Source organism: Homo sapiens, chromosome 21, assembly GCF_000001405.40.
Source record: "Homo sapiens chromosome 21, GRCh38.p14 Primary Assembly".
NCBI lineage: Eukaryota > Metazoa > Chordata > Mammalia > Primates > Hominidae > Homo > Homo sapiens.
Genome location: NC_000021.9, coordinates 32771326 through 32786077, shown reverse-complemented (window position 1 = coordinate 32786077; position 14752 = coordinate 32771326). Strand labels below are relative to the sequence as shown.

At 41.6% G+C, this 14752-nt stretch overlaps 1 protein-coding gene and 1 long non-coding RNA gene across 9 annotated transcripts in view, besides 1 other annotated feature; one reads left to right on the top strand and one right to left on the bottom strand.

Annotated features, from left to right (window-relative positions):
* Window positions 1–13978, bottom strand: part of EPCIP-AS1 (EPCIP antisense RNA 1) — a 25608-nt gene extending 11630 nt beyond the window's left edge. The window contains exons 1-2 of one of the 2 annotated variants that reach the window (NR_024622.1): window positions 13758–13978; window positions 1159–1281 (exon numbers count right to left, since the gene is read on the bottom strand). This is a non-coding gene — a long non-coding RNA (EPCIP antisense RNA 1). The remainder of the gene's footprint in view (window positions 1–1158; window positions 1282–13757) is intronic. The other variant, NR_024623.1, reaches the window with a different exon arrangement.
* Window positions 13667–14656: an enhancer, noted in NCBI's record as "OCT4-NANOG-H3K27ac-H3K4me1 hESC enhancer chr21:34143733-34144722 (GRCh37/hg19 assembly coordinates)". NCBI's record gives its function as "activates a minimal SCP1, AML or CMV promoter by ChIP-STARR-seq in naive H9 embryonic stem cells {active_cell/tissue: H9 hESC(naive)}" and the evidence as "EXISTENCE:reporter gene assay evidence [ECO:0000049][PMID:30033119]".
* PAXBP1 (PAX3 and PAX7 binding protein 1) overlaps window positions 14323–14752 on the top strand; it is a 37857-nt gene continuing 37427 nt past the window's right edge. For all 7 annotated transcript variants that reach the window (NR_027873.2, XM_006724066.3, NM_016631.4 and 4 more), the window contains exon 1: window positions 14323–14752. Coding sequence is in view for 6 of the 7 variants with exons in the window: in XM_006724066.3 (XP_006724129.1) it covers window positions 14410–14752 (343 nt within the window). In the remaining variant the exon portion in view is untranslated.

Genomic DNA, 14752 nt, shown 5'->3' with positions numbered 1-14752 from the left:
TGGAGTGCTGCAGTGGTATGATAATAGCTCACTGCAGTCTCGACCTCCTGGGCTCAAGCAATCCTCCCACCTCAGCCTCCCAAGTAGCTGGGACTACAGATGTATGCCATTATGCCTGGCTAATTTTTTTAATTACTTGTAGAGACAAGGTCTCACTATGTTGCCCAGGCAGGTCTCGAACTCGTAGGCTCAAGCAATCCTCCCTTGTTGTGCTGGGATTACAGGTGTGAGCCACTACACCTGGCCAAACTCATGCTTTTTAAGACATATGTCTTAGCTTTATCCTCTGAGAAAGCCTAGAAGCAATGACACCCCTGTGGCAAAGAACACACCTGACACCTAAATTGTGGTTTCTCAACACCATTCCCCATTAAAACAAACAAACAAACAAAAAATAGGGTTTTGAAGAAATGGCTGATTCCAGGGGTCTGGAGAAACAAAAACATAAAGTGAGCTTGAAACATCTTACTGTGACAGAAAGTAAGATAAGGTCAAAAAGTTGATGGAGATGTAGCAAGAGAATGCAGAACCCATCGCAGACAGTTCTACTGGCCAAATTAGGGACAATATGAACATCAAAACGATCAATTACAGAAATGGATTTTAGCATATTGATTTGAAAAAGACTCCATGAGTCTGTACTGTCACTAAAAAAAGTAAAAAAATAAAAAGTGGGAAAGAAGAAGAGAAAGTCTGATTTACAGAACATTGGCAACTAATAAATTTAGAAGGAGTAATAGAGAGTAATACCAAATTACCATTTTGCAAATGCTATAGTAATCATGAATTCTGAAAAGAATCATTAATGGATGCTAAAATGATTGGTTGAAATTCTGAGGAATATTTACACAGTCTAAAATTATCATCATTCCACAGATTACTTATTAACTACAAGTAGGACCTTTACAATGGAGAAAGGTCCATAACTGAGTGATTAAACTTACCAGGGGTGACCATAGCCAATAACTGAATTGTACATTTTAAAATAACTAAAAGAGTGTAATTGGATTGTTTGTAACACAAATGATAAATGCTTGTGGGAATGGATACCCCATGTGTCTCCATGATCACATTGCATACCTGTATCAAAACATCTCATGTACCCCGCAAACACATACACCTACTATGCACCCATAGAGATAAAAAAAAAAAACTTACCATGGGACAAATTGGCATCATAAGCTGCCTGACATGATGCATTGAGAACTACACATTACCTAGGTAGGATTTTTCCAAAAAACGTTAAACTTTGTGTAATCCAAATCCAAATAGAGGGTCATTCTGGAGAAGAAAAAAAAAAAAACTGATGAGGACGCTTCAAAAATGTCAGTGTTGGCCAGGCGTGGTGGCTCACACCTGTAATCCCAGGACAAGGTGGGTGGATCACCTGAGGTCAGGAGCTCGAGACCAGCCTTGCCAACATAGCGAAACCCCGTCTCTACTAAAAATACCAAAAATCAGCCGGGCATGGTGGTGCATGCCTGTAATTCCAGCTACCTGGGAGGCTGAGGCAGGAAAATTGCTTCAACCTGGGAGGTGAAGGTTGCAGTGAGCCGAGATCTTGCCACTGCAGTCCAGCCTGGGTGACAGAGCGAGACTCCGTCTCAAAAAATAAAAAATAAAAAAGAGTCAATGAAAGTTAAAAGAAGAAAAAAAGAACGGATAGACTGTTCTAGAATAAAGGAGACTAAATACCCATGACAACTAAATGCAATGCACAATCTTTACGAGATCCCAGATTGGGGATAAAACAACAGCTATGAAAGACATTATTGGGATAAGTGAGGGAATTTTGAATATGGACTCGATGTTAGATAACAGTAGTATGTTAATGTAAAACTTCCTGAGTGTGATAACTGTATTATGGGTATGTAGAGAAATGCCCTTGTTCTTAGGGGATACTCACTGAAGTATTTAGGGCTGCAGTATCAGGATGTCTGCAGGTAACTTTGAAATGACTCAGCAAAGATAAAGAGAGAAAGCAAATGTAGCAAAATATTAACAGTGATGAATCTAGGTGAAGGATATGTGGGTAATCGTTGTATTATTCTTGCTGTTATGTGTGTTGGTGTGTTGAGAGAGGGTCTTTCTCTGTTGCCCAGGAAGCAGTGCAGTAGTGCGATCACAGTTCACTGTAACATCTAATTCCTGGACTCAAGTGATTCTTGAGTCGCTGGGACTATATGTGTGTGCCACCATACCCAGCTAATTTTTTTATTTTTAATTTTTTATAGTGATGGGGTCTAGCTATATTGCCCAGGCTAGTCTCGATCTCCTGGCCTCAAGAAATCTTCCTGCCTGGACCTGCCAAGGTGCTGGGATTACAGGCGTGAGCTACCATGCCAGCCTCCTGCTTGTGTTTTGTTTTTTGGTTTTTACCCCGAGACGGAGTCTTGCTCTGTCGACCAGGCTGGAGTGCAATGGTACGATCTCGGCTCACTGCAACCTCTGCCTCCTGGGTTCAAGCGATTCTCCTGCCTCAGCCTCCCAAGTAGCTGGGATTACAGGCATGCACCACCACACCCAGCTAACTTTTTTGTATTTTTAGTAGAGACGGGGTTTCACCATGTTGGCCAGGCTGGTCTCGAACTCCTGACCTCATGATCCGCCCGCCTCGGTCTCCCAAAGTGCAGGGATTATAGGCATGAGCCACCGCACCCGGCCCTGCTTGTTTTTATCATTTGAATTTTTCCAAAATAAAAAGTTGGGAAAATGAATGAAGTATATTTAAACATACTTAAAAGAGCTGCAAATCCCAAGCTAAAAGGAAAAAGCAAGTTATAAAATAACACATAGAGCATGATACCATTTAGTTAAAAAACACAGAGAACATTACTGTAGATAAATAGATGCTGTATCTGTGCAGAAAACAGAAAACAGTCTAGGTGTTTTGAGCAGAGAATGACTAAACACAAGCAATCAGGAAGGGAATGAACCAAAAATTAACATTTAATACCTTTTAAGATTTAAACCATATGATTAGTTTATAAGTTATTCTCATTTTCTTCTTTGTATTGTTTTGCATTTTCTGAATTTCTAAAATGTGCAAGCAGTACTTTTATAATTAGGAAAAAGTTACTTTTCAAAGTCCATCTGTAGTTTTTAACAAATTCAAAGCTGCATCTGATTCTGTTAGGTAATCATAGTCTAAGCTTACTGTATGTTTATTGTATGACTTTGCTGCCCTCTAGTAACACTAAACAATACAGAAAAAAAGAAACATCAATTCTTCTATCCTTTATACCCAGAGAGCATGTTTATAACTGTCGTCTTCCATAATATATCTGCTTCAAATTTTTTTCAAGAGGCACAATAATGTATGAATGATACTGACCCAACAGGTGGTAAGCGGGTTCTTTCAGAAAGGGTGCATAGATTGGTATTTTTGCTTTTTCATTGGTCACACTATTCTCAGATATAAAGTGTCCATTGTGAATGTAATATAAATATCTTGTTCTACTATGGTTCTGAATAATACTCTTTCACATAGTAACACTAGAAGATATAAAATACTGAACTGAACAAAATGATTTCAAATGCCCATTTTACATGAAATGTTTGAAGAAAAGTTTACTACTGAAGACACCTTGGAGCTGTTCATTGTAATTATCTTGCAGGAAAATGTTCTGCCTCAGCCCCCAAAGTCCTTACACATTTTCTAATGATAAAGATACTTAACTGGCCATTGGCACTGTTAGGGCTCACAATACCACAAAGCATGCCACTTTAGCATGCTGAGTACTTTGAACTAAAGGAGATTGGAAAACCACAGAAGGAGCCTCAGAACCAGGGTCTCTCTGACCTTCTCCTGCCCTCCTGTCTCTGGCCCCTCTTTCTTTCCCAAAGCACAGGGAGAGGCTCTCTGAACTTCTCATACCTGCCTAAAGATAGATCCTCCAAAAAGAAACTCAATTGTCATGAGTCTCCTCCCCAGGAATCTCTTCAACCAAGGAAGATCAACTGCAACCCAAGAGAAGAGACTGAAGGTCAACATCATGCCCAGAGAGACTTGGCACAGGCTCTAACACCTATTCATCTTTTCCCCAAATTATTTTCTCAACCTTAAGCTGCCTACATCCTTCCCTGTCTCTCCCCTTTGAAGAAGGTATATAAGCTTCTCAATATCATTCGGTTATAGGGTACTCACTTTTTCCTATGATGCCCCTGTGCATATAATAAATTTGTGTGCCTTTTTTTCCTGTTACTCTGTCTACTATCTATTTACTTCAGTCCTTCAGAGGGTAAAGAGAATGTTTCCTGTCCCCTACAGCACATAGAAAAAATAAACTCAAACTGAAATTTCTATCATTTTATATCAGTTCTTAAGATGTAGTACCCTATTGATTTCGTTCACAATTATAATCACAATTAGCAATTAATTTGTTTATTGACTTTTTACATCTCTAGCAGCTGACTACAGTTCTAGGACAAAGAAAACATCTGTCTTATTCACTGTTGTGTCCCTACTGCCTAGCACAATGCCTAGAGCATCAAACATGTTCAATAAATTTTGTTGAATGAATGGGTAAGAGAAATACCTGGTCTAAATAGAAGATACATCTTAAAAATAAACTAGGATGAACAAGGTAACCTTCATTAAAACATTTACTTTTGTTCCAAGGTTGAGGGGTCACATCTGGTGAAGGCCTTAGTTTGGATAAAGAGAAATTTCACTTTCTTTTGGTTGAAGAAAGTGTCATTTTGGAAAATGAAGAAATGACCATTATAGCTGAATTGCCAAAACACTCATGAGTGGAATACATTTATAAGAGTTGAATCTCCACTGGGGATACTAATGTGGCCAATAATTTTTAAAGTAACAACTTTATTTAAAAAAATAAATAAATAAAACCTTGGGGTCTTTTAAACCTGGATTGAGTCAAAGTTTTAGTAGAAACAATGATCTCATTCAATTAGAACCAATGGCTACATTTTAATAGAGTTTGATACAAAGTATAAATTTACTAACAATTTTAACTAGGACCATTTATATGCTCTAAACAGAGGTACTTATCTCTATTAGCAAGTTACTTGCAATAACTATGTGCCTGCAGGAGAGAGAGCATTCCTCACTGTTACTTGCTGCTTAAATGCCTGCTTGTGAGGATGTATGTGTGCATAGTTTTTAAAAAGAAAGAAATAAGAGAAAAACTCTGTTGAACAAAAGCTATAGGTGAAGAGTTATTAAGCAAGTGAACTTTTAAAAACAATTGTATAAGGTACACAGATAAAATTTACCCTACTATAAAATGAAAATAACTCTTTAAGCAAATATACGTAACACAATAAAACATCATTAATACCAACAATAACAAAAAGGAAATTTATTATAAGGATTCCAAGAAGATCAAGGGAACTCACACATGGCGTGCAGTCCAGCTTCTGGAAGAGTCAAGGACCTGGGAAGGTACCAGAAGCCCTCAGAGTATCCTTTCTGTCCTCATTCTTCTCTCTCGCTACATTGACTAGTTTTCTTGGCTCCTGAGTTGACATGTAATTTAAGGCTTTCCTACTGCTTTTGAGTTCATTGCAATTCCAGCCATAAGCAGGGACTCACTGTCTCTGTTTCAAGGGCAAAATCTCGGGAGATTCTGATCAGCCCACTTTGCATCAGCCAGTACAATGTAACTTGGTGTCTTAGTCCATTTCTTTTTTTTTTTTTTTTCTTTTTGGGTGTGTGCCCTTGTTGTTGTTGTTGATACAAAGAAATACCTGAGGCTAGGGTAATTTATAAAGAAAAGAGGTTTATTTGGCTCATGGTCCCACAGGCTGTACAAGAAGCATGGCACCAGCATTTTTTTCTGGTGAGGGCCCCAGGAACCTTCTACTCATGGCAGAAGGTGAAGGAAAGCCAGCATGTCACATGGTGAGACAGAAGCGAGAGAGAGAGAGAGCGAGAAGAGGAAGTACCAGACTCTTTTAAACAGTAGGTTCTCATGGGAACAAATAGGGCAAGAATACACTTGTTACAGGATGACACCAAGCCATTCAGGAGGCATCTGCCCCATGATCCAAACACCTCTCACCAGGCCCTACCTCCAACACAGGAGGTCACATTGCCACGTGAGATTTGGAGAGAACAAATATTCAAACCATATCACCTGGCTTCCTAACTCACGGGGTACTCTTCTCCCTAGAGGAGGCAGTTCCCAAAGGTGGAGGGGAGATGTCTATTACTACTTTAAGAACTAATCGGCCGGGCGAGGTGGTTCACGCCTGTAATCCCAGCACTTTGGGAGGCCGAGGTGGGTGGATCACCTGAGGTCAGGAGTTAATGACCAGCCTGGCAACACAGCGAGACCCCGTCTCTACAAACATTCGCTGGGCGGGTGGTGTATGCCTGTAATCCCAGCTACTCGGGAGGCTGAGGCGGGAGAATCACTTGAACCTGGGAGGCGGAGGTTGCAGTGAAACGAGATCACGCCACTGCACTCCAACCTGGGTGACACAGCGAGACTCCGTCTCAAAAAAAAAAAAAGAAAAGAACTAATCTACTTCAGTAATTTATAATACATTGAGATCATGCTTTAGAAATAAAGGGTTGTTACCTGTAGAATATGTCCATTTATATCAACGTAGGGTAAAATATTTATCACTAATTCAATAAACAGATAATGTCCAATAGCATTCAGTCAACGAATATTGTCTATTCTGTGCCAAGAGCCATTGAACATACTGTGAAAACAGCAGTGAACAAAACATAAAAATCTCTTCCCCTATTGTCTTAGTACATTTTGTGTTGCTATAACAAAATACCACAGCTTAGATAATTTATAAAGAACAGAAATTTAGTTCTTATCGTTTTGGAAGCTGGAAAGTTCAAGGTTGAGGGGCCACATCTGGTGAAGGCCTTCTTGCTGCACCACATACCACGGCAGTACGTGACAGGGGAAGAGAGTACAAGAGAGCAAGACAGAAAGGGGGCTGGACTCATGCATTTTATGAGGAAGCCAATCCCAAGATAACTAACCCACTAATCCAGCGACCACCACATGAATCCATTCATGAGGGCAGACCCTTCATGACCTAATGTCTTAATGTCTCACCTCTCAACATTGTTACATTGGGAATTAAGTTTCCAACACATGAATTTTGGGGGATACATTCAAACCGTGGCACCCATGAGTTGACATTCTACTTTAAGTTACTGCAGAACTGCCTTCATCAAAGTAAGGTCTAAATCAATCTAAAAAATTATTACATTATTTCTTCAGCCTTTTTCCAGAATAGAATTATTGAGATGTCCAGAGTTATAGTTTTTTTAAAAAAAGGAAAATCCTAGATCAGGGACTCCTAGGCTGTTATATTTCACCTACCAGATAAAATTTTTTAAAGATAAAATAAAAAATTGAGGAGGGCCTATAGCTTTTACTACATTTCAGTTTTCCAAGTAAGGGTATGAAGATAAACTCACAGACTACCATATATTAGCATCATTGTTTATAGAAATAAAGAAATTTTCTCATCTTAACATGAAAGAGAAAAAAAGGCACATAATTTCAGAATAAAGGACTATTTCTTCCAAGAAAGGACATCTGGTTACTCTATACACACAGACTGTCCTTCCTCTTTTATTTTGGCAGCTGAGTAGGGAAAACTTTTCACAAGTTCACAGACCTGAATTTGGTAGTCATTGTTCCAGACTGCATGGTTTAGGACTGAGTTGGCAAACCAAACTGCTTATTGCCTATTTTGTCTGAATCTGTGTGTCAATTAATCCATGTAAAGTCACAATTTCATGGGAAAAATACTAACCAGAATTATTGCTTGGAAAGATGACTTTTTTTAAAGGAACAATTTATTGATTGAAACAAAATGGTTGATGTATTAGTTCTTTGTCTTCCCAGGATACTAAAAGCATTGCAATATTAAATGGTGATGACATACTATATCAACAAACAAATTAGTATATTTGATACTCAAAGTACAGAAGTACTTTATCAAGTAATTAGTTTCTGATAATATACCAGCTGACAGGCAGTTAAGGTAGCTATTCAATTTCAGGAATTTAATTTCCACAATCTCTATAACTTCTGATAGAAGAACCTTTGGCTTGCTTGGGCAGTAAGATAACTTTTAAATGTTTAACTTTGCTCTTTAACTATATAAATAGGTAGACTGGCAAAGTTATAAATAAATCTGTTGTATCTGAATACAACCATGCACTGCATAATGATGTTTTGATCAATGATGGACTGCATATATGGTGGTGGTCCCATAAGATTGCAATGCGGCCAGGCGCCGTGGCTCATGCCAGTAATCTCAGCACTTTGGGAGGGTGAGGCAGGCGGATGACCTGAGGTCAGGAGTTCGAGACCAGCTTGGCCAAATGGTGAAAGCTCGTCTCTACTAAAAATTCCAAAAATAGTCATGTGTGGTGGCACGTGCCTGTAATCCCAGCTCCTCAGGAGGCTGAGGCACAAGAATCGCTTGAACTTGGAGGCAGAGATTGCACCACTGCACTCTAGCCTGGGCAACAGAGCTACACTCTGTTTCAAAAAAAAAAAAAAAAAAAGATTGCAATGGAGCTGAAAAATTCCTATCATCTAGTGACATCATAGCAATCATAATACTGTAGCACAATACATTACTCATGTGTGTGGTGATGCTGGTATTAAGAAACCTCTGTTTCAGTGGTATAAAAGTATAGCACATACAATTACATATACCACATAAAACTCCATAATGATAATAAATGACTATGTTACTGGTTTATGTATTTGCTATACCAGTAGTCCCCAACCTTTTTGACACCAGGGACTGGTTTCATAGAAGACAATTTTTCCATGAACTAGGGGGTGGAGGATGGTTTGAGGATGATTCAAATGCATTACATTTACTGTGTACTTTATTTCTATTACAATTACATTGTAATATATAATGAAATAATTATACAATTCACCATAATGTAGAATCAGTTGGAGCCCTCAGCTTGTTTTCCTGCAACCAGATGGTCCCATCTGGGGGTGATGGGAGACAGTGACAGGTCATCAGGCATTAGATTCTCATAAGGAGTGCACAAGCTAGATCCCTCATGTGCAGAGTTCACAATAGGGTTCGTGTTCCTGTAAGAATCCAATGCTGCTGCAGATCTGACAGGAGACAGAGCTCAGGTGGTAATGCGAGTGATGCAGAGTGGCTGCAAATACAGATGAAGCTTTGTTTGCTCACCCGCCGCTCACCTCCTCTTGTGCAGCTCGGTTCCTAACAGGCCACTGACTGGTACCAGTCTGTGGCCTGGAGGTTGGGGACCCCTGCTTTATCTTATTTCTCGCATATTTAGTGAGGCCTCATCAGTTGTTAAGGCCCAGCTATTTATCTTCCCCCCAAATGTATATATTGAAACACTAATCCCCAGTGTGATAGCAGAGGAGGTAGAGATGCTGGAATGTGACTAGGTCACAAAGGTGGAGCCCTTATGAATGGGATTAGTGCCCTGGTAAGAAGCTGAAGAAACCACAGTTGTCTCCCTTCCACCATGTGAGGACTCAGCTAGAAGGTACCATCTATGAACCAGGAAGCAGACCCTCACCGGAACACAAATCTGCCAGTGCCTTAACCTTGGATTTCCCAGCATCCAGAGCTGTGAGAAATAAATTTGTTGTTTATAAGTCACCCAATTAATGGTATTTTGTTGTAGCAGCCCAAATGGACTAAGACATCAGCTAATGTATATAGAATATTTTTTACATATTTATTGGCTTTGTGGCTTCTAACATTTTAAAAATAAACTTAAAAAAAGAGAGAGAACAATGTCTACCTTTGGCCACTTGCCTCCTGCAGGGGTGGGAGGTGGTTGGGGACGCCTATACTATACTTTTTACTGTTATTTTAGAGCGCACTCTTTTTACTTACAAAAAAAAAAGTTAAGTATATAAGAGCCTCAGGCAGGTCCTTCAGGAGGTATTCCAGAAAAAGATATTGTTTTTATAGGACATGATAGCTCCATGTTTGTTATTTTTCCTGAAGACCTTCCAGTGGGACAAGATGTGGAAGTGGAAGACAGTGACACTGATAATCCTGACCTTGCGTAGGCCTAGGCTGATGTGTGTGTTTGTGTCTTAGCTTTAAAGTTTAAAAAGTAAAACAAAATAATTAAAATGGTAAAAATAGAAGATATTTTTGTGCAGCTGTAAATGTGTATTTTTTTAAGCAAAGTGTTATGCCGGGCACGATGGCTCACGCCTGTAATCCCAATACTTTGGGAGGCTGAGGCAGGTGGACGACCTGAGGTCGGGAGTTTGCGACTGCCTTGACCAACATGGAGAAACCTTGTCTTTACTAAAAATACAAAATTAGTTGGGCGTGGTGGTGCATGCCTGTAATCCCGGCTACTCAGGAGGCTGAGGCAGGAGAACTTCTTGAACCCTGGATGCAGAGGTTGCGGTGAGCTGAGGTTGCACTACTGCACTCCAGCCTGGGCAACAAGAGCAAAACTCTGTCTCAAAAAAAAAAAAAAAAAAGTCAAGAAGTTTTAAAAAATGTCTGGGCACGTTGGCTCATGCCTGCAATCCCAGAACTTTGGGAGGCCGAGGTGGGCAGATTACTTGAGGTCAGGAGTTCAAGACCAGCCTGGCCAACACAGGAGCTTGTGGGGTGTGCGGATCATCTCTACTAAAAATACAAACATTAACTGGGCATGGTGGTGCACGCTTATAATCCCAGCTACTTGGGAAGCTGAGGTGGGAGGATTGCTTGAACCTGGGAGGCAGAGGTTGCAGTGAGCTGAGATCACGCCACTGCACTCCAGCCTGGGGATAGAGTGAGACTCTGTCTCATTGCTTGAACCTGGGAGGTGGAGGTTGCAGTGAGCTGAGATCGCGCCACTGCACTCCAGACTGGGTGACAGAGTGAGACTCCATCTCAAAAAACAAAAACAAAACAAAACAATAACAACAAAAAAGTTTTAAAAAATAAGAAAGCTTATAAAGTAAAAAAGTTATAGTAAGCTATTTATTATTGAAGAAAGAAATATGTTTAAACATTTAGTGTAGCCTAAGTGTACAGTTGTTTATAAAATCTACAGCAGTGTACAGTAATAACCTAGGCCTTCATATTCACTTACCACTCACTCACTGACTCACCCAGAGCAACCTCCAGTCCTGTAAGCTCCATTCCTGGTAAGTGTCCTATACAGGTGCACCATTTTTAAAGCTTTTATGCTGTATTTTTACTGTATCTTTTCTATGTTTAGATACAGATACCATTGTGTTACAAGTGCTACAGTATTCAGTACAGTAACATGCCGTATAGGTTTGTAGCCTAGAAGCAATAAGCTATGCCATACAGCCTAGGTATGTAGTAGGCTACACCACTAGGTTTGTGTAAGTATGTGATGAAATTGCCTAATGGCATATTTCTCAGAATGTATCCCCGTCAAGTGACAAGTGATTGTATTGTGGCTTACTTTAAAATGAGAGGTACTCTTCCCTCTATCCATATCCAATCACCACTTTTACACTGGGAGAAATTTTTGAAATTTCAGGCCACCATAATAACATATTTGGCTTCTGGACCTTGTCTTTGCTACCTCTACCCTAATTATTTTACTGCAAATCTTTCTCTTGGCTCAGGTGTCTGGAGGCTGATCAGGCACAATTTGAATCTTCTATGATTAGAAAAGGGAGTTCAATTTCACTAGTGAAACACTGTTGGAATCAGAACTTACACCAATGCTGAACAGCCAGAATATAAGAACTGAGAGTAACATAAGTAGAATGGAAGCCAGATGTTATTAACCCTTCCTATTAACTAGAAGAAAATGTTAATGTTATAGAGGATGCTCTTAGCTCCAAAACTGAGTCCTAGTTGTGCACATGTCAAATCTAATTAAAAATATAAAAATTAGGCCGGGTGTGGTGGCTCATGCCTTAATCCCAGCACTTCAGAAGGCCGAGGCAGGCGGATCACAAGGTCAGAAGTTTGAGACCAGCCTGGCCAACGTGGCAAAACCCCGTCTCTACTAAAAATACAAAAATTAGCCAGGTGTGGTGCCAGGTGCCTGTAATCCCAGCTACTCGGGAGGCTGAGGCAAGAGAATCGTTTGAACACAGGAGGCAGAGGTTGCAGTGAGCTGAGATCGTGCCATTGTACTCCAGCCTGGGCGAGAAGAGCAAGACTCCGTCTTAAAAAACAAAACAAAACAAAACAAAAATACAAAAATTAGCCGGGTGTGGTGCCAGATGCCTGTAATCCCAGCTACCCGGGAGGCTGAGACATGACAATAGCTTGAACATGGGAGACAGAAGTTGCAGTGAGCTGAGATCGTGCCACCGCACTCCAGTCTGGGCCATAGAGCAAGACTCCGTCTCAAACAAATAATAAATAAATAAATAAATAAAATAAAAAGAAATGCTTGGAGTGCTCGGGATCTTCCACTTCAACCTGGAATTTAAATCTTACTGAAATTTCTACAGGATGGTGTGGGCAAACAGGCATCCTAATGTTTGCTGATATAAGTGCAAACTGCATAACTTCTATAAAAAGAAATTTAGAATTAGCAAAATCATAAATGCATATATTGAGATCTAGCAATTTCAATTCTATTTCATCCTACAGATGTAACAGTTTTTCAAAGCTTTTCATTACAGCACTGATTAAGACTAGAAATAATCTAAATATCAATGTTTATGGAACTGGTTAAATAAATTACGGTATATCCCAACAATGAATCACTACGCAGGTGGGTTAAAAAAAAAAATAGACGGCCGTGCGCGGTGGCTCACGCCTGTAATCCCAGCACTTTGGGAGACTGAGGCGGGCGGATCACGAAGTCAAGAGATTGAGATCATCCTGGCCAACAGAGTGAAATACAAAAATACAAAATAAATTAGCTGGGCGTGGTGGCACGTGCCTGTAATCCCAGCTACTAGGGAGGCTGAGGCAGAAGAATCACTTGAACCTGGGAGGCGGAGATTGCAGTGAGCGGAGATCGCGCCATTGCACTCTAGCCTGGGCGACAAGAGCGAAATTTAGTCTCAAAACAAACAAACAAAAAACCAAAAAAACACAACCCTTCATATACAGATATGGGCCGATCTCCAATCTACGGTAGGCTAAAAATGCAGCTTACACACCATCTGTGTAAAAAGGGGAACACATTAAAATATGCATATTTATTTGCTTTTATGTTCATGGAACATCTTTAGAGGATCATAAGAAACTGTTAACATTGCCACTGAGGAAGTGAACAGCCTTCCAGACATGGGTGGATTTTTTTCACTCTACCGAATACCCTTTTAATTTCGAAACATCAAAATGAATTCGCATGCACAGGTGCATGCCCGAAGGAAAAACTTCTAGTTCGGTGATGAGATAGGGAAAGCCGGTGAGTTCAACCTTAGGCGCAATCACCCTGTGAAGGTGTGGCCAGCGAGGGCTTTGTCACGCAAGTCTGAGAACTGTCACAACCTTCCCCACCCCCTGCTCTATTTTCCTTCCACTTGTTTCTGAAACTCACTAAGCTTTGGAAAGTATTTAGTCATAGAATTGCTTGCAAACTTGGCATTCTTTAGAAAACACGGAAACACTTTTGCTTTCCTTGTTCCTGAAAGACTGGGGAACGGGGGACATCAAGCCAGGTAACATTGTATCATAACTGAAATTCAATGTCTTTGAAGTAACATTGTACCATAAATGAAATTCAATGTCTTTGAAGTAACATTGTATCATAAATAAAATTCAATGTCTTTCTAAGAGCTCTGTAGCTATAAAGCTGTAGAAATACAAAGTATTACTCAAGAATAACTAGTAATTACCAATAGTCACACCTCAGGTCAAAGTTTGGAGAGGACTATTCCACCTACTAGATCACACTTTCCTTCCCGAAAGCCGCTTCTCTCTCTGGCCTCTCCCCTCCTCCTCCTCCCTCATCTGTTTGGCGGGAGGCTTCCTCACATTACCGCTCCGCGTAAGTGCGAAGACGCACTGCAGCAGCGCCGTCTGAGGGACAACAGAGCCTACTCTTTCTTCTCATCTCTATGATCCTCTTTGTGACCTGTCAAACAACACCAGAGTTCCATGCTAATAGTACTCCACTCCGACAGAGAGCGATGCAAAGAGCCGACGCTCTCGCGAGAGGTGTGGGGCTCTCTCTCTCTCTCTCGCTCTCTCTCTCTCTCTCTCTCTCGCTCTCTCTCTCTCTCTCTCTCTCTCTCTCTCTCTCTCTCTCTCTCTCTCTCTCTCTCTCTCTCTCTCTCTCTCTCTCTCTCTCTCTCTCACTCTCTCTCTTTCTCCAAGTATTGAGAGCGCGTGGGAGCATAGGCGCATGCGCGCTCGTGGGGTGCGCGGTAGCAACAGAGGACTCGACCCGGCTGGAGCTCCGGAGAGCGCGCGTGCGCCGTCACGAGCTCGGCGCTGCCGGGGCCGCGGTGTGGAAGCGAGTATTCGACCGCCGTGCGGGCCGCGGGGATGTTCCGAAAGGCCCGGCGGGTGAACGTGCGCAAGCGGAACGACTCCGAAGAGGAAGAGCGGGAACGCGATGAGGAGCAGGAGCCGCCGCCGTTGTTGCCGCCGCCGGGCACGGGCGAAGAGGCGGGCCCCGGTGGCGGCGACAGGGCCCCTGGCGGGGAGTCGCTGCTGGGCCCGGGGCCGTCGCCGCCTTCCGCGCTGACCCCGGGCCTCGGGGCTGAGGCCGGGGGCGGCTTCCCCGGCGGCGCGGAGCCCGGCAACGGGCTGAAGCCGCGCAAGAGGCCTCGCGAGAACAAAGAGGTGCCCCGGGCCAGCCTGCTCAGCTTCCAGGACGAGGAGGAAG